Genomic DNA, 27,440 nt, shown 5'->3' with positions numbered 1-27,440 from the left:
CACCTGAGGTCAGGAGTTCAAGACCAGCCTGGCCAACATGGTGAAACCCGTCTCTACTAAAAATATAAAAATTAGCTGGGCACGGTGGCTCATACCTGTAATCTCAGCACTTTGGGAGGCCGAGGCGGGCGGATCACCTGAGGTCAGGAGTTCAAGACCAGCCTGGCCAACATGGTGAAACCCCATCTGTACTAAAACTAAAAAAAAATTAGCCGGGCATGGTGGTGTGCGCCTGTAAGCCCAGCTACTTGGGAGGCTGAGGCAGGAGATTCACTTGAGCCAGGGAGGCAGAGTGAGCTGAGATCATGCCACTGCACTCCAGTCTGGGCAACAGAGAGAGACTGTCTCAAAAAAAAAAAAGGAAAGAAAGAAACAACATTGGGTGTTAGTGGTGACACTAGAGATAAAAAGGGGAGAAAGGCTTTTCAGTACTCTGTTTCTCTATATACATTTCCTATTGAAGAAGGCAAGGAATTTCTAATGAAAATTTCTATATATTGATAGCAGCATGATACAGATTTGGGTAGAATTCCAGCTATATATAACATGTCTTTTAAAAAAAGAAAGGGAGGAAATAAAAAGTTAGATGTCAGTGGAAATTTTTTTCAGGCAATGAAAATATGAATTTCTTTTCCTTTTCTCTTTTTTATATTTTCCAAGTTTTCTGTAATGAGTTTACAAAATTTTTCTGATTGACAAAAATAATGACCTTTTTTTAAATGCTTGATACCATTCTTTCTATGGGATTTGTCTCTGTCCCCATCCCTTTTCTCACCCCTCTCCCCACAAAAAGTAGAAAATTCCACAGATATTATTGTTCTGTTACTCATCAGCATGTAAATAACAAGAGGCTTTAAGTATATAAAATATGGCCAGGAGTATGCAATTTGAACAGGAGCACGTACCATTACACTGAAGGAAGAATGCAGAGAGAAGAGAAGGACACGCCCACCTCACCTGCTGCAGTGCCTTTTCCTTTCAGGGGGTCATAGGTGTGCTGTATCTTGTTTTCTGTACTGTTCCAAGCAGACAATCAGTATCTCATGATCCTCTTTCTACTCTTTTTTGTTTTGTTGCTTTTTTTTTTTTTTTTAAAGAATAACTGCACAAAGACTTGCCCACCTGAATAAGTGCTTGATGAACTTTAAGCTAGGGAATTTCAGCTATCAAAAAAACCCACTGAAATTGGGAGAGCTTCAAGGAAACCACTTCACTGTTGTTCTCAGGTAAAGAACTGCAGGTGGGAATGTAGACCAGAGGGTCTGGCCAGGGCATCTTGAGTATGTTACTCACGGTTGGTCATAAGGTCCTGGTGAGCTGGTACTAACAGAACAGGAGTGGCAGCAAGGGAGGGCAGAGCAGGGCCTGGCAGGGCTGGGAGAGCAGATACCTCTGTGAGAGCAAATACCTCTGTAGGATTTGTGTGGACACCTTGCCCCTTGAAAACCTAGTGCAGCCTTTGGAAAGACACCATCTCCTTCAAATATTGTAGTAAAAGACACCGAGCCGGCTGGGCGCAGTGGCTCACGCCTGTAATCCCAGCACTTTGGGAGGCCTTGGCAGGTGGATCACAAGGTCAGGAGATCGAGACCATCCTGGCTAATACGGTGAAACCCTGTCTCTACTAAAAATACAAAAAATTAGCCGGGCGTGGTGGCAGACACCTGTAGTCCCAGCTACTCAGGAGGCTGAGGCAGGAGAATGGCGTGAACCGAGGAGGCAGAACTTGCAGTGAGCCGAGATCGCTCCACTGCACTCCAGCCTAGGGGACAGAGTGAGACTCCAACTCAAAAAAAAAAAAAAGACACTGAGCCTGTGATTCCACTTAAAGCGCCTAGAATAGGCAAATCCATGGACATAGAAAGTAAAATAGTGGTTACTGGGGAAAGGGTAGGGTAGGGGTAATGGAAAGTTACTGTTTAGGGGTACAGAGTTTCATTTTGGAAACGGGAAAAAATTTGGGAAGTAGATAGTGGTGAGGATTGTCCAACATTGTGCATATAATTAACCCATTTATGCTAGTGTTCCATTATTGGAACACTAAGCATGTAGGAATTATTTATATCCTACTGCTCAAGGTCATCGCCAAGGTCTGATTGCAAAAATTCAAAAAATTGCAACCTCTGCCATAAATGGGTTAATACCGCCAAATTGCACACTTAAAAATGGCTAAAATAGTAAATTTGACATTATAAATATCTTACCACAACTTAAAGAAAGAAAGAGCCCTTGGGAGGTAGAGAGAAAGCTGCAGGAGAGTGAACGAAAGACTTGGAAGCCAGGCCGTAGTCATTTATGAGCTGCATCCCTGAGTATTTGACTGTAACTTTTTTTCCTCTGGATAATTTGTGTCCCTGTAGAAATATAACAGGAACTGATGACCAAGTACAGCAAGCTATGAACTCTCTCAAGGAGATTGGATTTATTAACTACTATGGAATGCAAAGATTTGGAACCACAGCTGTCCCTACGTATCAGGTTGGAAGGTTGGTATTTAATTTCTTTTATCAAAAATAGCTTTCTCATAAACAAAGCAGGGTTTGTTGGTGGTGGTGTTTTTAATTATTTCTACGTTCTCCCATGTCTGGGGCAAATGAACCACAGTTTCATGATTTTTGTTTTAAGTTAATGAGTGCACAGGGTAAAAAATCGGAGTTCAAAAGGATATGACCTGAAAAGTGAGCTTTCCTACCACTCTTGGTTACCCATCCAGGGGTTCTATTTTTATTTTTTTATTTTATTTTATATATTTATTTTTTCTGAGACAGAGTTTCGCCCTTGTTGCCCAGGCTGGAGTGCAATAGCGCAATCTCGGCTCACCGCATCCTCTGCCTCCCAGGTTCAAGTGATTCTCCTGCCTCAGCCTCCTGAGTAGCTGGGTTTACAGGCATGCGCCACCATGACTGGCTAATTTTGCATTTTTAGTAGAGATGGGGTTTCTCCATGTTGGTCAGGCTGGTCTCGAACTCCCAACCTCAGGTGATCCCCCGACCTCAGCCTCCCAAACTGCTGGGATTACAGGCATGAGCCTCCACACCCAGCTATTTTTTTTATTTTTTATTTTTTTGAGATGGAATCTTTGTTGTTCAGGCTGAAGTACAGTGGTGCAATGTTGGCTCACTGCAATCTCCACCTCCCAGGTTCAAGCAATTCTCCTGCCTCGGCATCCCAAGTAGCTGAGATTGCAGGCTTTTGCCACCACATCCAGCTAACTTTGTTGTATTTTTAGTAGTGGCGGGAATTTCACCATGTTGGCCAGGCTGGTCTTGAACTCCTGACCTCAAATGATCCGCCTACCTCAGCCTCCCAAAGTGTTGGGATTACAAGTGTGAGCCACTACGCCCAGCCCTATTTTTATTTTTATTTTGTAACAGGTAAGTCTTGGCTCAGTAAGTGATTCAACAGTAATCTGTTGGGTAACTCAGACCCAGAGTAGCCAGACAGAGATGTCACATTTTCTGATCTGTGTTAACACGTTTATTAAACTTTGATCTGCCCTTCCCTCGCTCTTAATTTTATTTTATTTTTTATTTTTATTTTTTGAGATGAAGTCTTGCTGTTGCCCAGGCTGGAGTGCAGTGGTGCCATCTCCGCTCACTGCAACCTCCACCTCCCAGGTTCAAGTGATTCTCCTGCCTCAGCCTCCCACGTAACTGGGATTGCAGGCATGCACCACCTCACCCAGCTAATTTTTGTATTTTTAGTAGAGCCGAGGTTTTGTCATGTTGGCCAGGCTGGTCTCGAACTCATGACCTCCAGTGATCTGCCCGTCTTGGCCTCCCTAAGTGCTGGGATTACAGGCATGAGCCACTGTGCCTGGGCCCCTTCCCTCACTCTTTAAAGAATGTAATAAATGATAAAATTAGTGACATGGAATTTAAGAATTGTCATTTACTTTTAAACAATTAAGAACCCCTCTAGGGTAACCTACAGTGGGAATCCCATCAATAAATAGTTGGGTTCCTAAATCTACTTCTGGAATCCTGTTGCCCAGCAGAGACTCTGTTACATAAACTAATTATTCGCGTGGGAGTTAGAATTGTGGTAGTTACAAGCTGGAAGTTATCTAAGCGTCCATGTTCTTCCTTGTCTTTCAGACCCTTCATGTTAGCAAACTTAGGCTTTGAGAGGTCTGCCTGAACTCATCAATTGCTTGGCTTTAGTTTGGGAGTAGAGTTTTCCGGGCTTCCAGTCCATTGTTTCAGCATCTAAACTATGAAGTTGCATTCATTTTTGTGATTTTAAAAGCGCAAAATGATAAAAATCTATATTTCCTCTGCCTCTTTGAGGAGGTTAAAAAGCTCAGGTGAAAACAGACTTGAGTTCTGAGGCTTAAATTACTCATCTGTAGAATGGAGATAATAATACCAATTCACAGAATGGTGAAAATGAAGTGAGATGATGTTTATGCTACATCTATTTTTATGCCTAGAATATAGTGATTGCTAATATGTTTTCAACCTTGCTAATGGTCAGAGGACATTGATAAAATAGTAAAAATGCTAATTGTATTATGGGACAGAATAAGGGAGCACTGTATCAACCTGTAAATTTGTAATTAATTTGGCAGAAGGACAGCCATGGAATCCTATACGTTGTGTATGCCAAAGATAGTGTAAATAAATATAAGTAATTAAAATGAGGTCAAATTTATCCCACAACAAAAATTACATAGCGTGACCAAAGGTCAGTACGGTCAGCTCAAAATTCCAAATCATTCATTTTCACAACATAAGAATATTTCCTGCTTTCAAGGAAACGCACTGTTAACACCATAGAATTTCCTGAGGGAAAAAACAGACTTTCAGTTTATATTGTATAGGTGGAGAAATGACTTGTATCCAAAATATTAAAAGCTCTTACAACTCAAGAACAGAAAGACAACGCATTCTAAAACTTAGCAAAGGGTCTGAACAGACCTTTCTTTAAATAATGTAATCAAATGGCCAATAAGCACACAAAAAGATGCTTATCACTAATCTTTAGGAAATGCAAATCAAAACCACAGTGAGATGCCACTTCTTACCCACTAGGATGGCTAAAATAAAAAAGGCAGAGAATAACAAGTGTTAGGATTAGAGAAATTGGAACCCTTATACATTCCTGGTGGAAATGTAAAATGGTATAACGATTTTGGAAAATAGTCTGACAGTTCCTCAAAAGGTTATAAAGTTAGCCTATGACCCAGGCATTTCTAGGTATATACTGAGGACAACTGAAAATCATATGTTCACACAAAAGTTTATACAGATGTTCATAGCAGCCAAAAGACTGGAAACAACCCAAATGTCCACCTACTGATGAATGGATAAACAAAATATACAATGTAATATACAATAATATACAGTGGAATATTACTTAGCAATAAAAAGGAATGAAGTACTGATACATTCTGCAACGTGAATGAACCTTGAAAACATTGCTAAGTAGGCAGGGCACAGGGGCTCATGCCTGTAATCCCAACAATTTAAGAGGCCAAGGCGGCAGGATCACTTGAGGCCAGGAGTTCAAGACCAGCCTGGGCACCATAGCAAGGCCCCATCTCTACAAAATAAAATTTTTAAAAAATTAGCTGAGTGTGCTGCTGCCTGGCTTTGGTCCTAGCTACTCAGGAGGCTGAGGCAGGAGGATCACTGAAGCCCAGGAGTTTGAGGATGCAGTGAACAGTGTACCACCACTGCACTGTGGCCTAGATGACAGAGCAAGACCCTGCCTGTGAATGAATGAATGAATCAATTTCTATGAAATTTCCAATGTGAGCAAATCTATAGAAAAAGAGCTGGAACAGGACCAATGGGGAGTGACTACTAATGGGACAGGATTTTTTTTTGGTGGGGGTGGGTAATAAAAATGTTGTAAAATTGTGTAATGCTCCACAGTTCTTTAAAAATACTAAAAGCCATTGAATTGTACACTTACATGGGTGAATTATATGTTATGTGAATTATTGAATAACTCAGCAAAAACTTTGAAAAAAAGAAAGTGAGCCAGGCACAGTGGCTCACGCCCGTAATCCCAGCCCTTTGGGAGGCCGAGGTGGGTGGCGGATTGCTTGAGGTCGGGAGTTCAAGACCAGCCTGGCCAACATAGTGAAATCCCGCCTCTACTAAAAATACAAAAATTATCTGAGTGTGGTGGCATGAACACCTGTAATCCCAGCTACTCGGGAGGCTGAGGCAGGAGAATTGCTTTAGCCCGGGAGGCAGAGGTTGAAGTGACCCAAGATTGTACCACTGCACTCCAGCCTGGGCGACAGAGTGAAACTGTCTCAAAAAAAAAATAATAAAATAAAATAAACTCAAAATGGACCAAAGATCTAAACATAAGAGCTGCACTTATGCAAACTCTTAGAAGAAAACATGGGGAAAAATTCATGATATTGGATATGTCAGTGGTTTCTTGGATATGAGACCAAAAGCACAGGCAACAAACAAAAGAAAAAATAGATAAGTTGGACTTTATCAAAATTAAAAACGTGCATCAAAGGATGCTATCAACAGAATGAAAAGATAACCCACAGAATAGGAGAAAATATTTCAAATCATACATCTGATAAGAGACTTAAATCTAGAATATATAAAGAACAACTCAACAACAACCAAAGAAAAACCAATTCAAAAATGGAGAAAGGATTTCAATAAATGTGTTTCCAAAGATAGACAGACTGGTGTTCAACATCACTAGTCATTAGGGAGATACAAATCGAAACCACCACGAGGTACCACTTCATATCCGTTGGGAAGGCTATTATCACAAAACAACAAATAACAAGTGTTGATAAGGGTACAGAGAAATTAGAAACCTGGGCTTTGCTGGTGGGGATGTAAAACAGTATAGCCATTGTGGAGAACAGTATGGTGATTTCTTAAGAAATTAATTATAGGCCAGGCGCAGTGACTCACGCCTGTAATCCCAGCACTTTGGGAGGCTGAGGTGGGTAGATCACGAGGTCAAGAGATCGAGACCAGCCTGACCAACATGGTGAAAACCCGTCTCTACTAAAAATACAAAAATTAGCCGGGCGTGGTGGCACATGCCTGTAGTCCCAGCTACTCAGGAGGCTGAGGCAGGAGAATTGCTTGAACCCGGGAAGCAGAGGTTGCAGTAAGCTGAGATGGTAGCACTACACTCCAGCCTGGCAACAGAGCGAGACTCTGTCTCAAAAAATATATATATATAAATTATGTTATGAACCAGCAATTCCACTTCTCAGTATATACCCAAAAGAAATGACAGTGGGAACTCACCAGATATTTGTACACTCATGTTCATAATAGCAGCATTCACAATAGCCGAAAGGTAGGAGATACCCAGGCAACCCAAGTGTTTATCCAAACAAAATGTGGCCCATACATACAATGGAATATGTAAGCCTTTCAAAGGAGGAATTTTTTTTTTTTTTTTTTTTTTTTTTGAGACGGAGTCTTGCTCTGTCGCCCAGGCTGGAGTGCAGTGGCGCCATCTCAGCCCATTGCAACCTCCACCTTCTGGGCTCAAGTGATTTAAAAGGAGGGAAATTTTGACACGTGCTATCACGTGGGTAAGCATTGGAAACTTTATGTTACCTGACATAAGCCAGTAACAAAAGAACAAATATGGTACGATTTCTCTTATATGAGGTTCCTAGAGTAGTCAAAGCCATAGACAGAAAGTAGAATGGTGTCTTACAGAGGTTAGGGGGCTGGGTGGATAGGGATTTATTATTTAATGGGTATAGAGTTTCAGCTGGGGAAGATTAAAAAGTTGTGGAGGTAGACAGTGATGATGGTTGCCTGACAGTGTAAATGCACTTAATGCCACAGAACTGTATACTTAAAAATAGCCAAAAAGGTAAATGTTATTACATGTATTTTACCACAATAAAATAAAAGAAGGTAGAAGAAGGAAAGATAAAGTAAGAAAAGTACAAAGCATCTGGTCAGGCGTGGTGGCTCACACCTGTAATGCCAGCACTTTGGGAAGCCAAGGCAGGCAGATCAGGAGGTCAGGAGATCGAGACCATCCTAGCTAACACAGTGAAACCCCATCTCTACTAAAAAAATACAAAAAAAATGGCCTGGCACGGTGGCTGACGCCTGTAATCCCAGCACTCCAGGAGGCCAAGGGGGGCAGATCACAAGGTCAGGAGATCGAGACCATCCTGGCTAACACAGTGAAACCCCATCTCTACTAACAATATAAAAAATTAGCCAGGCGTGGTGGCGCGCGCCTGTAGTCCCAGCTACTTGGGAGGCTGAGGCAGAAGAATGGCGTGAACCCGGGAGGCGGAGCTTGCAGTGAGCCGAGATCGTGCCACTGCACTCTAGCCTGGGTGACAGAGCGAGACTCCATCTCAAAAAAAAAAGTACAAAACATCTTAATGTGCAGCGTGCTAGATAGTACAGCCTATTGTAAACCAAATCTCTGTATATTTAATATGGCATTGTATACTAAACCTTTACAGTATATGGTAGCATCTTAAAGGTGTTGAAAAGTCCTGCAGTTAAGAAACTGTTCAATATGTTATATCAGGTGTTGGCAAAGGTTTTCTGTAAAGGAACAGTTAGTTAATATTTTAGGCTTTGTGGGCCATTCAATATTTGTTGCAGGTACTGAGCTCTGGAGTTACACTGCAAAAGCAGCCATGGACAATATGCAAAGCAATGAGCATGGCTGTTTTCCAATAAAACTACAGAATTAGGTGGACAATCAGATTGTGCCTGCAGGCTGTAATTGATATTTAACAAAGGTTTTTTTGTTTTATTGTGTTTTATTTTTGAGACACAGTCTTGCTCTGTCGCCCAGGCTGGAGTGCAGTGGCACCATCTCGGCTCACTGCAACCTCCGCCTCCTGGGTTCAAGCAGTTCTCCTGCCTCAGCCTCCCAAGTAGCTGGGACTACAGGCACGTGCCACCACGCCCGATTATTTTTTTTTTTTTTTTTTTTGTATTTTTAGTAGAGATGGGGTTTCACCATGTTAGCCAGGATGGTCTTGATCTCCTGACTTTGTGATTCGCGTGCCTCAGCCTCCCAAAGTGCTGAGATTACAGGTGTGAGCCACCATGCCCGGCCTAACAAAGGTTTTTTAGTGTAAAAATCTATGTGTATTATATCTGTCAGATCAGTCCCTAGTACCAACTAGTACTATACTCTTTTTGTCAGTATTGGCTAAAAGATTATCCAAGTAAATAATTTATCACCCCAGGACTATATTTAAGGACTGATTTAACATGGCTTGTTCCAGGACTGTGGTGGTGGCCAGCAATAGGAAATCTGTTGATGTAATTACATTATTGGATTGAAAATCCAGGTGATGTCATCGATAGATACCAAATAGCATTTTAGATCATTTAATATCCAGAAATGCCCAGTATTGTGTAACTTAAATGTGAAAATAAAGAACCATAATTAACTGGAAAAACAGAAAAATTAATAGAAGGGGATTCCTATATTCTTTTGATAGGGAAGGGTCTTTCTAAACATGACTCCAAGATGAGAAATCTTAAAGGAAAACTTTCAGATGTAATACACAAAATATAATTTCTGTACAGCAATACTATAGTAAAAGTTAAAGGAAGAATTACATACACTTATAGATTTGCCAACAAAAATATGCTCTAAAGTGTTAACAGTGCTTAATTTCTTAGAGATTGAATAATACATAACCTTTCTTATGTACCGTTCAGTTTTTTGAAAGCATATATAGGCCAGGCATGGTGGCTCATGCCTATAATCCCTGCACTTTGGGAGGCCAAGGCGGGCTGATCACTTGAGGCTAGGAGTTCAAGACCATCCTGGCCAACACGGTGAAACCTCGTCTCTACTAAAAATACAAAAATTGGCCGGGCACAGTGGTACATGCCTGTAATCCCAGCACTTTGGGAGGCCGAGGCAGGCGGATCACGTGAGGCCAAGAATTCAAGACCAGTCTGGCCAACATGGCACAACCCCATCTCTACTAAAAATACAAAAATTGGCCAGGCATGGTGGCGCAAGCCTGTAATCTCAGCTATTTGGGAGACTGAGGCACAAGAATCGCTTGGACCCGGCAGGCAGAAGTTGCAGTGAGCTGAGATTGTGCCATTGCACTCCAGCCTGGGCAGCAGAATGAGAGTCCATCTCAAAAAAAAAAAAAAAAAAAAATTAGGCAGGCATGCTGACTCAGCCTGTAGTCCCAGCTGTGCAGGAGGATGATGCAGGAGAATTGCTTAAGCCCAAGAGGCAGAGGTTGCAGCGAGCCAAGATCATGCCACTGCATTCCAGCCTAGACAACAGAGGGAGACTGTCTCAACAAATAAAATTTTTTTAAAAAGCATATAACCTTTATAATCATCAAATATGTAGATATTTTCATTTTGACAAGAATGATAAGAGTAAATCGTATTTATTCTATTTGCCTAGGCAAGAAGGTATTAACATAGATAAATCTTTTGAGAAGTTTCAAACAAGTTTTCACACGTAAAGACTTAACTGCGATTTATATAAATAATACCATGTGGGCCGGGCACGGGGGCTTATGCCTGTAATCCCAGCACTTTGGGAGACCAAGGCGGGTGGGTCACAAGGTCAGGAGTTCGAGACCAGCCTGACCAATATGGTGAAACCCCATCTCTACTAAAAAAAAAAAAAAAAAAAAAAGTAGCTGGGCAAGGTGGCAGGTGCCTGTAGTCCCAGCTACTCAGGAGGCTGAGACAGGAGAATGGCGTGAAACCGGGAGGCAGAGGTTGCAGTGAGCCGAGATCGCATCATTGCACTCCAGCCTGGGCAACAGAGCGAAACTCCACTTCAAAAAAATAATAATAAATAAATAATACCATGTGTTACTACTTAAAGCATGACTATGTAGTATTTATACTATTATCACATTTTTAAACTGAAATGATAGTAAATGTTACGGGTAAGCATTATGTTTTCCATTTTATTCTTTTTTTGAAAGTTCTTTTGGCACTTGAAGTTCTTTTACATTTCAAATCTGTATCATATTAGATTTTCTGCCTACTTTTAAGTTTAATGAGATGATGTAGGACCAGGTGTAATGGCTAATACCTGTAATCCCAACACTTTGGGAGGCCAAGGTGGGAAGATCATTTGAGCCCAAAAGTTTAAGACCAATAGTGAGACCCCATCTCTACAATAAATTAAAAACTTAGCCAGGTATGGTGGTGTGCGTCTGTAGTCCCAGCTACTGTCAGGATGGTGGGAAAGCTGAGGTGGGAGAATCACTAGACTAGAGCCTGGGAGTAGAGCCTGGGAGGTCAAGGCTTCGGTGTATAGTTAATATGATTTGTTGACTCTTCAAAGATTTGTGCATATAAAGTTTTATCTTTATGCAAAATTTAGTAAAATAAATGTTGTTTAATTTTAGAGCTATACTACAAAATTCCTGGACAGAAGTCATGGATTTAATATTGAAACCCCGCTCTGGAGGTGAGAATAAAATTCATGTTAAGAAAATAAATAGAATGTATGGCTAGGTATTCATGAAATTGCTTTGAATAAAAGCTTTTGTGCAAATTGACGTTGTTGTTTCAGTATTTTATTTGTTTTTACAATAAAAGTATAAGTTTATTTATATTTTTCAACAGTTGTATATGTATATTTAAGATTTATAATTTATATCCTATTTTAGCTTTTTTTTTTTTTTTTGATAAGGAGTTTTAGTCTTGTTTCCCAGGCTGGAGTGCAATGGCATGATCTCAGTTCACTGCAACCTCTGCCTCCTGGGTTCAAGTGATTCTCCTGCCTCAGCCTCCTGAGTAGCTGGGATTACAGGCTTGCAGCACCATGCCTGGGTCATTTTGTATTTTTAGTAGAGACAGGGTTTTACCACATTGGCCAGGCTGGTCTCGAACTCCTGGCCTCAAATGATTGGCCTGCCTTGGCCTCCCAAAGTGCTGGGATTACAGGCATGAGCCACCATGCTCAGCCAGAATGTTGCTGGCTGGTCTCGAGCTCCTGACCTCAGGTGATCCGCCCACCTCAGCCTCCCAGAATGTTAGGATTACAGGCGTGAGCACCACGCCCAGCCTCTATTTTAGCTCTTTAGCTTGTTCAGTGTATTAATTCATAACTCAATATAAATATATTTTAAAAATGAATATATATTTTTCTTCACTCACTACTAAATCTGAGTGTATAAGAATCTAAAACATTTTACTTGTGGTTATTTTGTTAAAACATAGTGTAATGGAATATAAAAACTTGGCAAAAACACCTTGAGGATTTGCAGTGTGAAGAAGTCACCAAAAACTTTCCAAAGAGTATCTCTAAAATCATCTTGAATGAAAAGGATTAAACTACTGATTGTCAAAATAATTGTGCTCACTTTGGGTAATTCATTTGCAGACTATAAAAAGATAAAATTATCTAATTTTAAGGAAAGTAACCCGTTAAACTTGACATTACAATGGAAAAAGAGAGAAGGAAGAAAGTACTAGCGTGTTTTTGTCATGTTGAATCAGCTGTTATAATGAACAGTTAAATAGCTTTTACTTTTGACCTGAGGGTGATTGTATGTTGACAAAGCCAAATAGTTCTGTAAACTTTCTACATTTCCCATCTTTGCGCTTCCTCAGATGAGTGGTAGCTATAAACAGCACCTATATTTCAAGTAGCATTTTCTAATTTTGTGTTCTCTGTGAAGTGTACTTTAAGTTATGGAAGTCTGTCTATTGGGTAAGTCATTTAACCCTAGCTTTTTCCCCCCGCAGCTGAAAAGGGCTACTTGGTTAAATGCAGAGAAGAATGGGCAAAGACCAAAGACCCAACTGCTGCCCTCAGAAAACTACCTGTCAAAAGGTGTGTGGAAGGGCAGCTGCTTCGAGGACTTTCAAAATATGGAATGAAGAATATAGTCTCTGCATTTGGCATAGTGAGTGCAATTTGTGAAGTCAGGCAATGGCTCAAGGCGTTTTAATGCTTTTTAAATTTCATCTTGAAAGATTTTACTAAACTTTGAAAGAGCAGAAGGTAAATAAGGATCCTTTGGTGATCTCTGAGGTGTTTCACCTGAGTAGTCTTTGTTCAGACCCTGAGTGGTGATGTTGGGGGTGGATGCGGGCATTACTTATTGAGGGCACAAGAAAAGCGTCAATGTGGAAAACATAATCTTCAGTGGAAATTCTGTGTAAATTAAGTCTCTTGGTATTTGAGAAATTTCGAATCTATTGTATAGTCATTTCTTGATCATTCCGTTACCAGAACTGTAAACTGCCTTAGTAAAAGGGTTGAACAGTAAGCAGTCTATAGTTGCATTTTAGTCTGGTTTCATCATGGTGATTCAAGAGTAGCCTATGTCAGTATTTGGATATGTATAATCCAGGACTCCATGCACTCCAGCCTGAGCAACAAAGTTAAAGTTAACAAATGTTAAAGTTTAACCCTTAAGCCTAAGTCTTACTTTTCCTAGATGCACAAAGAAAGCAGAATTCTTGCTGCATGGAATTAGTTGTCAGTTCAATCATTTAGGTTCTCTCTTTAACCGTGGAATTATGGGAGAAAAAAGCACTGTTAGCTTGAAAATTGATGTGTAAATTCCTTAAGTTTGAAGACTGTGCCATTGATGTAAGGCAGGCTTGTCCAACCTGCAGCCTGCGGGCCACATGCAGCCCAGGACAGCTTTGAATGTGGCCCCACACAAATTTGTAAACTTTTCCTAAAACATTATGGCCAAGCATGGTGGCTCATGCCTGTAATCCCAGCACTTTGGGAGGCCAAGGTGGGCAGATCACTTGAGGCTAGGAGTTCGAGACCAACCTGGCCAATGTGGTGAAACCTTGTCTCTACTAAAAATACAAAACAGGCCCGCGCAGTGGCTCACGCCTGTAATTCCAACACTTTGGGAGGCCAACGCAGGTGGATCTCCTGAGGTCTGGAGTTCAAGACCAGCCTGGCCAGCATGGTGAAACCCTGTCTCTACTAAAAATACAAAAAATAGCCAGGCGTGGTGGCAGACGCCTGTAATCCCAGCTACTTGAGAGACTGAGGCAGGAGAATCGCTTGAACCCAAGAGGCAGAGGTTGCATTCAGCCGGGATGGCACCATTGCACTCCAGCCTGGGCAACAAAGTGAGACTCCGTCTCAAAATGAATAAATAAAACGATTATCTGGACATGGTGGTGCGCACCTATAGCCTCAGCTACTCAGAAGGCTGAGGTGGGAGAATCACTTGAACCTGGGAGGCGGAAGTTGCAGTGAGCTGAGATCGTGTCATTGCACTCCAGCCTAGGTGACAGAGTGAGACCTTGTCTCAAAAAAATAAAAAAGAAAAAAATGAGAGATTAAAGTAGAAGGAAAAAAGAAAAATGAGAGATTAAAAAGAAAAAGAAAAAATGAGAGATTAAAGTAGAAGTTTTGGCTGGGTGCAGTGGCTCAGGCCTGTAATCCCAGCACTTTGGGAGGCTGAGGCTGGTGGATTGCTTGAACCTGGGAGTTTGTGACCAGCCTGGGCAACATGGCAAAACCCTGTCTCTAGAAAGAAAATTCAAAGAACTAGCCTGGCATGGTGGTGCACGCCTGTAGTCACAGCTACTCAAGAGGCTGGGGTGGGAGAATCACCTGAGCCTGAGCATTTGAGGCTACAGTGAGCCATGATCATGCCACTGCACTCCAGCCTGGGTGACAGAATGAAAACCTGTCTCAAAAATAAATACATAAAAGTAAATAAATAAGTACAGTAGAAGTTTCTTATTACTACGATTACCACTAACAAGCAAAATGTCTTAGAAAGTACAGCACTTTTTGGCTGGGCGTGGTGGCTCACGCCTGTAATTCCAGCACTTTGGGAGGCCAAGGTGGGCGGATCACCTGAGGTCAGGAGTTTGAGACCAGCCTGGCCAACATGGTGAAACCCTGTCTCTACTAAAAATACAAAAATTAGACAGGTGTGGTGGTGTACCCCTGTAATCCCAGCTAGTCTGTAGGCTGAGGTGGGAGAATTGCTTGAACCCGGGAGGTGGAGGCTACAATGAGCCTAGATCGTGCCACTGCACTCCAGCCTGGGCAAGAGAGCAAGACCCCATCTCAAAAAAAAAAAAAGTACAGCACTTTTTATATTTAGAATATGTTTTCTTGCCTATTTTTTTCCTTCCCTCCAGATACCCAGAAATAATCGCTTAATGTATATTCATAGCTACCAAAGCTATGTGTGGAATAACATGGTAAGCAAGAGGATAGAAGACTATGGACTAAAACCTGTTCCAGGGGACCTCGTTCTCAAAGGAGGTAAAAAGGCAGATGTCTTTGTTACTCAGCTAAGCTAGGGTTCAGTTAGTTGCCACTAGTGGCTTTAAAATCCATCCTGGCTATTAATTAAGAAAGAGAGATGTGGTGAGGCACGGTGGTACACGCCCATAATCCTGACACTTTGGGTGGCCAAGGTGGGTGGATCACCTGAGGTCAGGAGGTCAAGACCAGCCTGGCCAATATGAAGAAACCCTGTTTCTACTGAAAATACAAAAATTAGCTGGGTGTGGTGGTGCATGCCTATAATCCCAGCTACTCAGGAGGCTGAGGCAGAAGAATCGCTTGAACCCAGGAGGCAGATGTTGCAGTGAGCCAAGATGGTGCCACTGCACTCCAGCCTAGGTGACACAGTGAGATGCCATCTCAAAAAAAAAAAGAGATGTCTAGTAAGTTTGAGATGAAGGGACCATGCAAACTTACATTGGCTAGTTTGTATCTGTATTTTTAAAGAAAAAATGTATATCTGGTTTGAGTAAGCACCTCGATCTCGAACTCCCCACCTCGGGTGATCCGCCTGCCTTGGCCTCCCAAAGTGCTGGGATTACAAGTGTGAGCCACTGTGCCCGGCCTGAGTAAGCACCTCTCTCTGGGCCTCCCTTTTCTCAACTCAAATAGGATTTGGGCTAAATGGATGGCTGAAATCACTTTCGAAACTTCGATCTAGGTCTAGCAAATAAATACACCTCTGGATGTGTCTTGTTAGCCAACCTTAAAGAGTTTCTTCAAGTCACTGGGCGCAGTGGCTCACACCTGTAATCCCAGCACTTTGGGAGCCAAGGCGGGCAGATCACGAGGTCAGGAGATCGAGACCATCCTGGCTAACACGGTGAAACGCCGTCTCTACTAAAAATACAAAAAATTAGCCGGGCGTGGTGGCAGGCGCCTGTAGTCCCAGCTACTCAGGAAGCTGAGGCAGGAGAATGGCGTGAACCCGGGAGGCGGAGCTTGCAGTGAGCCGAGATCACACCACTGCATTCCAGCCTGGGCGACAGTGGGAGACTGTCTCAAAAAAAAAAAAAAAGAAGAGTTTCTTCAAACTCAAATAGAATGGGCATTTAGTATATGCTATGCCCAAAATGTTCCCAAGACACTCCTAATATCCCATCTTCCATGGAGCCCATTGTGTGTGCCAGGCCTTGGCACTAAGCCCTGTACCTGTGTCTTTTAGTTTAAAGCCTCAGTGTTACTGTGAAGTATTTTCTCTGTTTTTTCAGGTGAGGTTTAGTCACTTGCCCAAAGTTCCACAGCTAGTTAAAAAAAAAAAAAAAAAAAAAAAAAAAACAGAAAAAACTGGGATTCAGAGTTCTATCTGATTCCAAACTCCATGTGTGTCTCTGGCATACTAGGCTACCATCTATTAGCTGAATACATGATCTGCTCATCTGCAGGCAGACCCCATAAACCCACTAAGGTTCTAACTCTGTTCAGAAATTTTAAATTATTTTTCCTGATTTAGCTTCTTTTCCTCATGCCATGTTGGTCACATCCAGTGTATTTTAATGTCCTGGGTGCCGCTGTGTTTCATCCTCTTAAGTACATTCCAGTTTTTTTTTTTAACTTTTTTTTTTTTCCCAGCAAAATGCATCCATTTATGATGCCACTGCAAATACGATTTTGTAGTATGGTGGCTTTTCAAAGTGTTTTCTTGTGTTACTTTATTTAAGAAAGATAGAGGAACTGATTTTAAATAGTAGGCATTCAAAAAAATGTGGATGCAGCTGAGAGATAAATGTTTTTAAATTTTCATTGAAAATTTTACTTCAGATTTGGTGCAGTAGCTCACACCCGTAATCCCAGTACTTTGGGAGGCCAGGGCAGCAGAATCACTTGAGCCCAGGAGTTCAAGACCAGCCAGGGCAACAAAGACCCATCTCTACAAAAAATTAAAAAACTAACCAGGCGTAGTAGCACACACTTACAGTCCCAGCTTCTCGAGAGGGTGAGGCAGGAGGATCACTTGAGCCCAGGAGGTTGAGGCTGCAGTGAACCTTAATCACACCACTGCACTCTGGCCTTAGTGGCAGAGCAAGACCCTGTCTCAAAAAACAAAAAAAGAATTTCTTTTACTTTTTCTAAGTCCTTGATTTTTATTTCTTGGGTAGAGTAGAAAAGACAGAAGGATATATATCCAAACTTAATTTTTTTTTTTTTTTCCTTTGAGACAGGGTCTCACTCCAAGACCCAGGATGGAGCACAGTAGTGCAGTCACATCTCACTGCAGCCTCAACCTGCCAGGCTCAGGTGATCCTCCTGCCTTAGCCTCCCAAGTAGGTGGGACTACAGGTGTTTGCCACCACACCCAGCTAATTTTTATATTTTTTGTAGAGATGGGGTTTCGCCATGTTGTCTAGGCTGCTCTGGAACTCCTGGGCTCAAGCAGTCTACCCACCTCAGCATCCCAGAGTGCTGGGATTACAGGCGTGAGCCACTGCTCCTGGCCCCAGCTTAATTTCTTTTTCCTTTTTTTCTTTCTTTTTTATTTTGAGAGGAGTTTCACTCTTGTCACCCAGGCTGGAGTGCAATGGCTTGATCTCAGCTCACCGCAACCTCCGCCTCCCGGGTTCAAGCAATTCTCCTGCCTCAGCCTCCCGAGTAGCTGGGATTACAGGCATGCGCCACCATGCCTGGCTAATTTTAGTATTTTTAGTAGAGACGGGGTTTCTCCATGTTGGTCAGGCTGGTCTCGAACTCCCAACCTTGGGTGATCCACCCACCTTGGCCTCCCAAAGTGCTGGGATTATAGGTGTGAGCCACCGCACCTGGCATAATTTAAGCTTTTAAGTCACTGAACCTGTACCAACTTGTACTTCTGACTTGCTTAGATGTATATAATTTTAGAAGATTGAGTTCATAACAATATTGCCTATTTTCTTAATTTATTGTTCACTTGTGAATTTACAGCCACAGCCACCTATATTGAGGAAGATGATGTTAATAATTACTCTATCCATGATGTGGTAATGCCCTTGCCTGGTTTCGATGTTATCTACCCAAAGCATAAAAGTAAGTTCCCTGTATGGGGAAAATAGTTAAAACAAGTTTAACATAATGAAGCTACTATTTCAAGCATATATAAACTTTGGTTATTTATGACAGTCTCCCAGAAAGGGATGCATTCACATGGAAAATTTAAATTAAGAAACTCTACCTCTGAATCTAAAATAAAAGTTGAAATTATAAAATAAAATAAATAGGTCAGGCACGGTGGCTCACGCCTATAATCAATCCCAACATTTTGGGAGGCTGAGATGGGTGGATCGCTTGAGCTCTGGAATTCGAGACCAGCCTGGGCAACCTGGCAAAACCCCGTCTCTACTAAAAATACAAAAATTAGCTGGGCCTGGTAGTGCACACCTGTGGTTCCAGCTACTTGGGAGGCTGAGGTGGAAGGATATCTTGAGCCCAGGAGGCAGAGGTTGCAGTGTGCCAAGATCATGCCACTGCACTCCAGCCTCAGCGACAGAGCAAGACTCTGTCTCAGAAAAAAAAAAAAAAAAAAAAAGGGAAGAGGGGGATTTGTTAGGGAAATTGGCCTGCTTGATTGTGGAGTTGAGAAGTCCCACGACAGGCCATCTGCAAATGGGAGAACTGGGAAAGCCAGCAGAATGGTTTAGTCCAAGTGTGAAGGCCTGAGAACCAGGGAAGCCAATGATGTAACTCTCAGTTGGAGGTCAAAGACTTGAGACCTGGGGAACCACCAGTATAAGTCCCAGAGTCCATAGGCCAGAGAACCTGGAGTTGACATCCAGAGACAGGCGAAGAAGGGCATCTGGCTCTGGGAAGGAGAGGGAGAGAATTCAGCCTTCCTCTGCCTTTATGTTCCATCCAGGCCCCCAGCCGACTGGAGGTGTGTGCCCACCTTGAGGGCAGATCTTCCCCACTCTGCCCACCAACTCACATGCCAGTCTTCTCTAGAAACACCCTCACCGACACAGCTGGCACAGTCCGGTCACTCTAATCAAATGCCAAACCACCTGGATTTCCCTCTGAGAAGAAGGCTGAGCTCAGTGCCTACTGAAGCAGTGAAAATAAATCATGTTTTACTAGCTGTTGGGGTCTCCCTTACCCCAGTCAAGTTGACACCCAAAATCAACTATCATAAGAAAGAAAACATTATTTTCCTCTTCTCTCTTAAACCTTTTGGGATCAGGAACTTTGCCAGTACCAATTAGAACATAAACTCAGCAAAGCCTTTGACAAAGCCATTCATGAAAACCTTGTAGCCAGGATGGCCATTTGTAGACTGGATGGGTGATATTTCAGGTTTCTGGGTATGTAACACATGCATACCTGGTACCCGACAGTGCTTGATTGAGGGATCCCTGTTGTCCTTAGTGTGTGGTGAGGGACCTGTTCTAGCCAATATTTTTTATGAGTAACTTGAACAAAGAAATTTGCTTGTTATATTTGCAAATTGTGCAAAATAGTTAGTATTAATTATATGAAAAATACATATTTAAGAATTGCATAATATTCTATTGCAGTATTAATTTTAAAAACACAATTTCAATGTATTTGCATTTGTCCATCCATTAATTTATCAAATATGTATGACACCTCATATTCAATGTCTTATATTAGTTACTGAATGAGTAGAAGGCTAGCAAAAGTTGTAATAGAGGGGCAAGTTTGCAATAAATAATTTAGTAAGATGTTAAAAAAAAAAAAAAGAACTGCAGAAGGTATTTAATAGGAATAAATGTAAATTCCCACATTTATGCCCAGTGATCAAATGCCGATAGAAAAGGCCCAGTTTGATAGTAGTTTGTATAAAAAGCTTAAAATATCTGGAGTTATTGTTGTATGTGAGCCTGTTACCCTGGGGCAGATAAAAGGTTTGGTGGGAAATACAGAAATGTTAAAGGAGGGACAGCTAAGGGAAGCATTGTTTGGTCTAGAGAAGATATGGCTGAAAGATCCAGTACTTATGACTATATGTGGAAGAAGACAGTTAATCCACTGTGTTCCAAAGCGTCAACAGAAGTTAGAAGAAAATGGATTTCAGCTTGGAATAGGAAGAACTTTCTAATAATTGCATGCCTCACAAAGAAGTATTTCCCCATTAATGACTGTGCAAGCAAAGGCTGGAAAACTGTCTCTCTTGAGTGCTATAAAAAAGACTCTACATCAGGTGCGCGGGTGAGCCAGATGGTTTTCCAAGGTCTCTTATTTTTATACATTTATTTATAACTGCCTCTTCCAGAGAGAGTTTGAAGCCTCTGTATATGCTGTCTTCCAACTCTCAGCCCATATAAAATGCAGTTTAGCAACTTTGGATGAAATGGCCTTTTGTAGTTGGCTTGGGAACCTTACACCACAGGTACTATGACTGGTTGCAAAAATAACTGAAAAATTGGCCAAACCAAAGCTCAGTACACCCTGTAGTCCTAGTTACTAAGTCACTAAATTTTGATTCCAGGGAACAGATTTTGGATTATAAATTAAGGTGACTAATTTTATTAGGGCAGTCTAACTGAACTTACATTGTTACTCTCTTTATAATCTAGTTCAGGATAACTTGACTGACAAGCTGCATTTCAACTAACTTTTTGTATTTTATATTAGTTCAAGAAGCCTACAGGGAAATGCTCACAGCTGACAATCTTGATATTGACAACATGAGACACAAAATTCGAGATTATTCCTTGTCAGGGGCCTACCGAAAGATCATTATTCGTCCTCAGAATGTTAGCTGGTGAGTAATCATCTAGAATGAGATAGAACTGAATTACCATATAAGTTGTAAGCTTTTGCTTCACTTTATATAGAGTCATGTACTGCACAAGAATTTTCAGTCAGTGACAGATTGCTTATATGATGGTGGTATCATAAGATTATAACACCATATTTTTACTTACCTTTTGTTTTTTTTTTGGTTTTTTTTTGAGACGGAGTTTCACTAGTCACCCAGGCTGGAGCACAATAGCATGATCTCGGCTCACTGCAACTTCTGCCTCCCAGGTTCAAGCGATTCTCCTGTCTCAGCTTCCAGAGTAGCTAGGATTACAGGCACCTGCCACCACACCTGGATAATTTTTGTATTTTTAGTAGAGGCAGGGTTTCACCATATTGGCCAGGCTGGTGTCAAACTCCTGACTTCAGGTGATCCTCCTGCCCCGGCCTCCCAAAGCGCTGGGATTACAGGCACGAGCCACCACACCTGGCCTTACCTTTTTTCTTTTCTTTTTTCTCTTTTATCTTCTTTTCTTTTCCTTTTCTTTTTCTTTTCCTTTTCTATCTTTTTCTTTTCTTTCTTTTCTTTTTTTTTCTTAATAGAGGCAGGTTCTTTCTGTCACCCAGGCTGGAATGCAGTGGCATAATCATGGCTTCCTGCAGCCTCAAGCTCCTCTGCTCAAGCAATCCTCCCACCTCGGCCTCCCAAAGTATTGGGATTACGGGCATGAGCCACCACATCCAGCCTGTGCCTTTTCTATGTTTAGATGCACAAGTACTTAAACCATTGTGTTACAGCAGCCTCCAGTATTCAGTACAGTAACATGCTGTATAGGTTTGTAGCCTAGGAGCAATAGGCTATAGTCTGTAACCAAGGCGTGTAGTAGGCTATACCATCTGTGTTTGTGTAAGTACATTCTGTGATGTTTACACGGTGATGAAATGCCTGACAAGGGTTAGAACATGTCCCTCTTGTTAAGCAGTGCATGACTGTACTTTTTCAGTGCTTACAACCTAGCATCTAAGTGTTTCATAAGTGTTAGTTATTATTGTTATTACTACTATTGTTACCACTACTGCTACTACTTTGTATTTTTCAAATCATCAAGAAGTAAATGAAGCTAAGCCGGGCACAGTGTCTCATAAGTAAGCCCGGAGACTCCAGAGGCTGAAGCGGGAGGATTGCTTGAGGTCAGGAGTTTGAGACAAGCCTGGGCAATATAGTGAGACCCTGTCTCTAAAAAAAGAAAAGAAATAAAGAAGCTGTTTTGAATATAAACAGTTATGGGAAGTGAGTTCATTTACATTTTATTGGCATCACTGAATTATTGAAGAAATGTGTAGAGTGAACTTTTTTCCTATTTCTAAAAACTTAGATTTGCTTACAGAGCTATCTCTGAGCAAATTACCTTACTTAGAATTAGCTGTGAGTTCCAAACACCGCTCTGGTTGTTTTAATATCATGTTTCTAGAGAGGAAAATATACTTATGTTAGTTCGTTTAAAAATACTTTATTGGAAGCCCAAGGTGGGAGGATCACTTGAGCCTAGGAGCTTGAGACCTGCCTCCGCAACATAGCAAGACCATCTCTACAAAAAATTACAAAAATTAGCCTGGTGTGATGGTGCACATCTGTAGTCCCAGCTGTTTGGGAGGCCAATGTGGGAGGATTGCTTGAGCCTGGAAGGTCGAGGCTGCAGTAAGCTGTGATCACGCCACTGCCCTCCAGCCTGGGTGACAAAACGAAACCCTGTCTCAAAAACAAATTTTTTTTTTTTTTTTTTTTTTTGAGACGGAGTCTCGCTCTGTCGCCCAGGCTGGAGTGCAGTGGCGCGATCTCGGCTCACTGCAAGCTCCGCCTCCCGGGTTCGCGCCATTCTCCTGCCTCAGCCTCCCGAGTAGCTGGGACTACAGGCGCCCGCTACCACGTCCGGCTAATTTTTTGTATTTTTAGTAGAGACGGGGTTTCACCTTGTTAGCCAGGATGGTCTCGATCTCCTGACCTCGTGATCCGCCCGCCTCGGCCTCCCAAAGTGCTGGGATTACAGGCGTGAGCCACCGCGCCCGGCCTCAAAAACAAATTTTAATACTCAGTATTATCTAAAGCTTTATTTGATAATTTTAAAATGAAATCCTGAACTAGTTGCCTATTTCCAGGAAATTATTTTATTCCCTATTTCCTTCTCTTCTCCATCTCTCTTACCTCCTCCTCTCTGGAGTATAGGCAAGAGGTCCACATGGTTGGACTTTGTCTTCCCCACTCCAGAGAACTGTTCCTTCTCAGTAACAAGCTGTTGTTGGTTGTGGCACCCAGTCTGGAGAAAATGTAAATGCCGTAAGTAATTTGATCACAGCTGTGCAAAGTGAAGTTTACTGACTCTCAACTTCATTTAAAAAGAATTGTCGGCTGGGCACGGTGGCTCACGCCTGTAATCCCAGCACTTTGGGAGGCCGAGGCGGGCAGATCACGAGCTCAGGAGATCGAGACCATCCTGGCTAACACGGTGAAACGCCATCTCTACTAAAAATACAAAAAATTAGCCGGGCATGGTGGCGGGCGCCTGTAGTCCCAGCTACTCGGGAGGCTGAGGCAGGAGAATGGTGTGAACCCGGGAGGCGGAGCTTGCAGTGAGCCAAGATCACGCCACTACACTCCAGCCTGGGCGACAGAGCGAGACTCCGTCTAAGAAAAAAAGATTTGTCAGTTGTACATTTTTAAAATTTTAATTATTAATGTGAAGAAATGGGGTTTCACCATGTTACCCACGCTGGTCTTGAACTCCTGGGCTTAGTCATCCCACCTCGGCCGCCCAAAGTGTTGGGATTAGAGGCATGAGCCACCATGCCTGGCCCCAGTTGTGCATTTTTAAATAACTAATAGAATATAATTGGATTGAGCCTATTATATTCAGGCACAGTGGCTCACGTTATAATCCCAGCAGTTGGGGAGACTGTGGCGGGTGGATCACCTGAGGTCAGGAGTTTGAGACCTCCCTGGCCAACATAGTGAAACCCCATCTCTACTAAAAATACAAAAATTAGCCAGGCATGGTGGCAGACACCTATAGTCCCAGCTACTTGTGAGACTGAGGCAGGAGAATTGATTGAACCCAGGAGGCAGAGGTTGCAGTGAGCCAAGATCACACCACTGCACTCCAGCCTAGGTGACAGAGTTGAGACTCCATCTCAAAAAAAAAAAAAAATTATATATATAAGCAAAACTTAGGTATAAAATCTGGCCCTGCTATATTATTCAAGATTCCTAACTATAATTATTTACAGTAAACTTACTTGTTTTTCTTGCTAAATAAATGATGATGAGTGGCTTAGTACCTTTTATGAAAGTTCACATTCACACTTATCTTTATTCATATGTTTTGAAGGGAAGTCGTTGCATATGATGATCCCAAAATTCCACTTTTCAACACAGATGTGGACAACCTAGAAGGGAAGACACCACCAGTTTTTGCTTCTGGTAAGTTTACTCAGTCATCAGCTCTGTGTTGACTTTGAAATGTTTTGTTAAACAAAAACATAATTTTTTTTTGAAAACTGCTCTTACAAGCACTACCACCACCCATGATTTCATTGTTGTGTTTTATGACCTTACTTTCACAATTATGGCTGAAAGTTAGTGATTAAAACCAGTAAATCCTCCTGAAAATAAGTGCATGTTATAGATGGTTGTGATATTAGGTGATGGAGTATTTCTCCCCATCCCCCACAGAGACTTACCAAAGGTGAGTGAAAATTCAGGAAGAGTCTAAAAAATTAAATTGGTTGGGCAGGTGCGGTGGCTCACGCTTGTAATCCCAGCACTTTGGGAGGCCGAGGCGGGCGGATCACGAGGTCAGGAGATCGAGACCACGGTGAAACCCCGTCTCTACTAAAAATACAAAAAATTAGCCGGGTGTGGTGGCGGGTTCCTGTAGTCCCAGCTACTTGGAGAGGCTGAGGCAGGAGAATGGTGTGAACACAGAAGGCGGAGCTTGTAGTGAGCCAAGATCACGCCACTGCACTCCAGCCTGGGTGACAAAACGAGACTCCATCTCAAAAAAAAAAAAAAAAAAATTGGTGGCTGGGCGTGGTGGCTCACACCTGTAATCCCAGCAGTTTGGGAGACCGAGACAAGTGGATCACTTGAGGTCAGGAGTTCCAGACCAGCCTGGCCAACATGACAAAACCCCGTCTCTACTGAAAATACAAAAAAAAAAATTAGGCGGGCGTGGTGGTGGGCACCTGTAATCCCAGCTACTCAGGAGGCTGAGGCAGGAGAATCGCTTCAACCCGGGAGGTGGAGGCTGCAGTGAGCTGAGATTACACCACTGCACTCCAGTCTGGGCAACATAACAAGACTCTGTCTCAAAAAAAAATTAATTAATTAATTAAATTGGCATTCTCATCATCAAATTCTTGTTCTGTTTTTTCCCAGGCCGTAATTTATTATTATTTCTTTAACTTTACATGCGTTTCTCTTTTGTGTTCTTCTGTCATCTGCCTTTTTGTGAAAGTTCCTGGGCAGAATTTCTGTAACCATTCAGCAGGTTCACACTCACAGATCTCTTACTTCCATGGTCTCATTCTCCAAGGCCCCCTAGGAAGTGGAGTCTAAGGAAAGCAGCACAGTTCTTTGTATTTGCTTAGAGATTATGTGACTCTCGCTGGTCTGTCTGCAGCTGCCTTCATTTTCTGACTGTTTTCTTTCTTGCCTTGCAGAAGGCAAATACAGGGCTCTGAAAATGGATTTTTCTCTACCCCCTTCTACTTACGCCACCATGGCCATTCGAGAAGTGCTAAAAATGGATACCAGTATCAAGAACCAGACGCAGCTGAATACAACCTGGCTTCGCTGAGCAGTACCTTGTCCACAGATTAGAAAACGTACACAAGTGTTTGCTTCCTGGCTCCCTGTGCATTTTTGTCTTAGTTCAGACTCATATATGGATTTCAAATCTTTGTAATAAAAATTATTTGTATTTTTAAGTTTTTATTAGCTTAAAGAAATAATTTGCAATATTTGTACATGTACACAAATCCTGAGGTTCTTAATTTTAGCTCAGAATATAAATTAGTCAAAATACACTTCAGGTGCTTAAATCAGAGTAAAATGTCAGCTTTACAATAATAAAAAAAGGACTTTGGTTTAAAGTAGCAGGTTTAGGTTTTGCTACATTCTCAAAAGACAGCAGGAGTATTTGACACATCTGTGATGGAGTATACAACAATGCATTTTAAGAGCAAATGCAACAAAACAAATCTGGACTATGGATAAATAATTTGAGAGCTGCCACCCACAAATATAAATACAGTACTCATGCTGACTGAAATAATAAGACATCTACAAATTTATAAACAAAAAGTGATTGTCATTATCCTGCTTATGTACTAGATTCAGGCAAGCATTATAGACTTTTTGGTTGCGGTGGCTTTTGCATTTATATTATCAATGCCTTGCAGGAACGTTGCATTGATAGGCCCATTTTATTTTTTTATTTTTTTTTTCGAGACAGGATCTCACTCTGTAGCACAGGCTGGATTGCAGTGCAATCCTGCAATTCTCAATCTTGCACTGCAGCCTCGACCTCCCAGGCTCCAGTGACTCTCCCACCTCAGCCTCCTAAGTAGCTGGGAGTACAGGCGCGCACCACCACGCCTAGCTGATTTTTGTATTTTTTTGTAGAGACGGGGGTTTGGCCATGTTGCCGAGGCTAACTCCTGGGATTACAGGCATGAGCTGTGCTGGCCGGGTTTTTTTTTCTTGATGTAAACGTGTACAGCTGTTTTATTAGTTAAGGTCTAATTTTTACTCTAGGTGCCTTTTATGTTCAGAACTCTTTCCACTGGACTGGTATTTGCTCAAAAATAAATAATGGTAGAGAAGAAAACTATAAAAATGGACAAGGCTTTCTTCTATCAGTAGCGTTTACCCTTTGTCACCAGTGGCTTTGGTATTTCCATGTCTGGCATTGCATAAACTTCTCTGGTGTGAAAGGATAAATATGCCTTTCTAAAGTTGTATATCAAAATTGTATCAATTTTTATTTTCTATGATTTCTAGAAACAAATGTAATAAATATTTTTAAAATCTCCTTTCTACTGGTTATGTAAATAAATCAAATAAATATATCAAAATGAGTGCAGATAAGAATCTTGACCTTGACTAAAGGTAAGGAACTAAATGAATGTGGGATCCTCATCAGAAATGGTGGTGACACCAAAATGTGTTGTGATCAGCTGTGAAGTATGAGGATAATCTGAGTCAAATGCTACGAATAATTGACTGTGTTGGACTGGACTCCAGGTTATTGGAATCACTCACTCACCTTCCAATGTGCTTTATGGAGTAGAAAAGAAAGGAATGGAAAAGAGCTACCGTACCAGGAGCATTGCACCATGGGAATGTGAATGACATTTGTCTCGTATCTGGTAGTAGAAATGAGATTCGGAACTGTTTTTCAACCCTTTTGTTTTAATGACATCCATCACCACCACACTGCTGAGGCTTAAAAAAGATTGGAAATAGCATGGTAAATTTTATATATATA

At 41.8% G+C, this 27,440-nt stretch overlaps 1 protein-coding gene across 9 annotated transcripts in view, besides 1 other annotated feature; it reads left to right on the top strand.

The window, feature by feature from the left end:
- The window catches only part of PUS7 (pseudouridine synthase 7), a 65,771-nt gene extending 38,734 nt beyond the window's left edge, over positions 1 to 27,037 (top strand). For 3 of the 9 annotated variants that reach the window (XM_017012367.3, XM_005250462.5, NM_001318163.1), the window contains 9 exons: positions 1,098 to 1,226; positions 2,361 to 2,486; positions 11,345 to 11,406; positions 12,690 to 12,850; positions 15,075 to 15,201; positions 18,124 to 18,225; positions 20,788 to 20,917; positions 24,279 to 24,370; positions 25,612 to 27,037. In XM_017012367.3, the coding sequence (XP_016867856.1) occupies positions 1,098 to 1,226; positions 2,361 to 2,486; positions 11,345 to 11,406; positions 12,690 to 12,850; positions 15,075 to 15,201; positions 18,124 to 18,225; positions 20,788 to 20,917; positions 24,279 to 24,370; positions 25,612 to 25,748 (1,066 nt within the window). In that variant the 3' untranslated portion in view covers positions 25,749 to 27,037. Of the gene's footprint in view, positions 1 to 1,097; positions 1,227 to 2,360; positions 2,487 to 11,344; positions 11,407 to 12,689; positions 12,851 to 15,074; positions 15,202 to 18,123; positions 18,226 to 20,787; positions 20,918 to 24,278; positions 24,371 to 25,611 lie in introns of those variants that run through there. The other 6 variants (XM_047420533.1, XM_047420532.1, XM_011516336.4 and 3 more) reach the window with 3 other exon arrangements.
- Positions 15,440 to 15,988: an enhancer, noted in NCBI's record as "H3K27ac-H3K4me1 hESC enhancer chr7:105107997-105108545 (GRCh37/hg19 assembly coordinates)". NCBI's record gives its function as "activates a minimal SCP1, AML or CMV promoter by ChIP-STARR-seq in naive H9 embryonic stem cells {active_cell/tissue: H9 hESC(naive)}" and the evidence as "EXISTENCE:reporter gene assay evidence [ECO:0000049][PMID:30033119]".
- Positions 27,038 to 27,440: the final 403 nt, after the last annotated feature.

This window comes from Homo sapiens, chromosome 7 (genome assembly GCF_000001405.40).
Source record: "Homo sapiens chromosome 7, GRCh38.p14 Primary Assembly".
Classification (NCBI taxonomy): Eukaryota; Metazoa; Chordata; class Mammalia; order Primates; family Hominidae; genus Homo; species Homo sapiens.
Note: the sequence above shows the minus strand (reverse complement) of the source record. Positions and strands in the feature narration are given on the sequence as shown.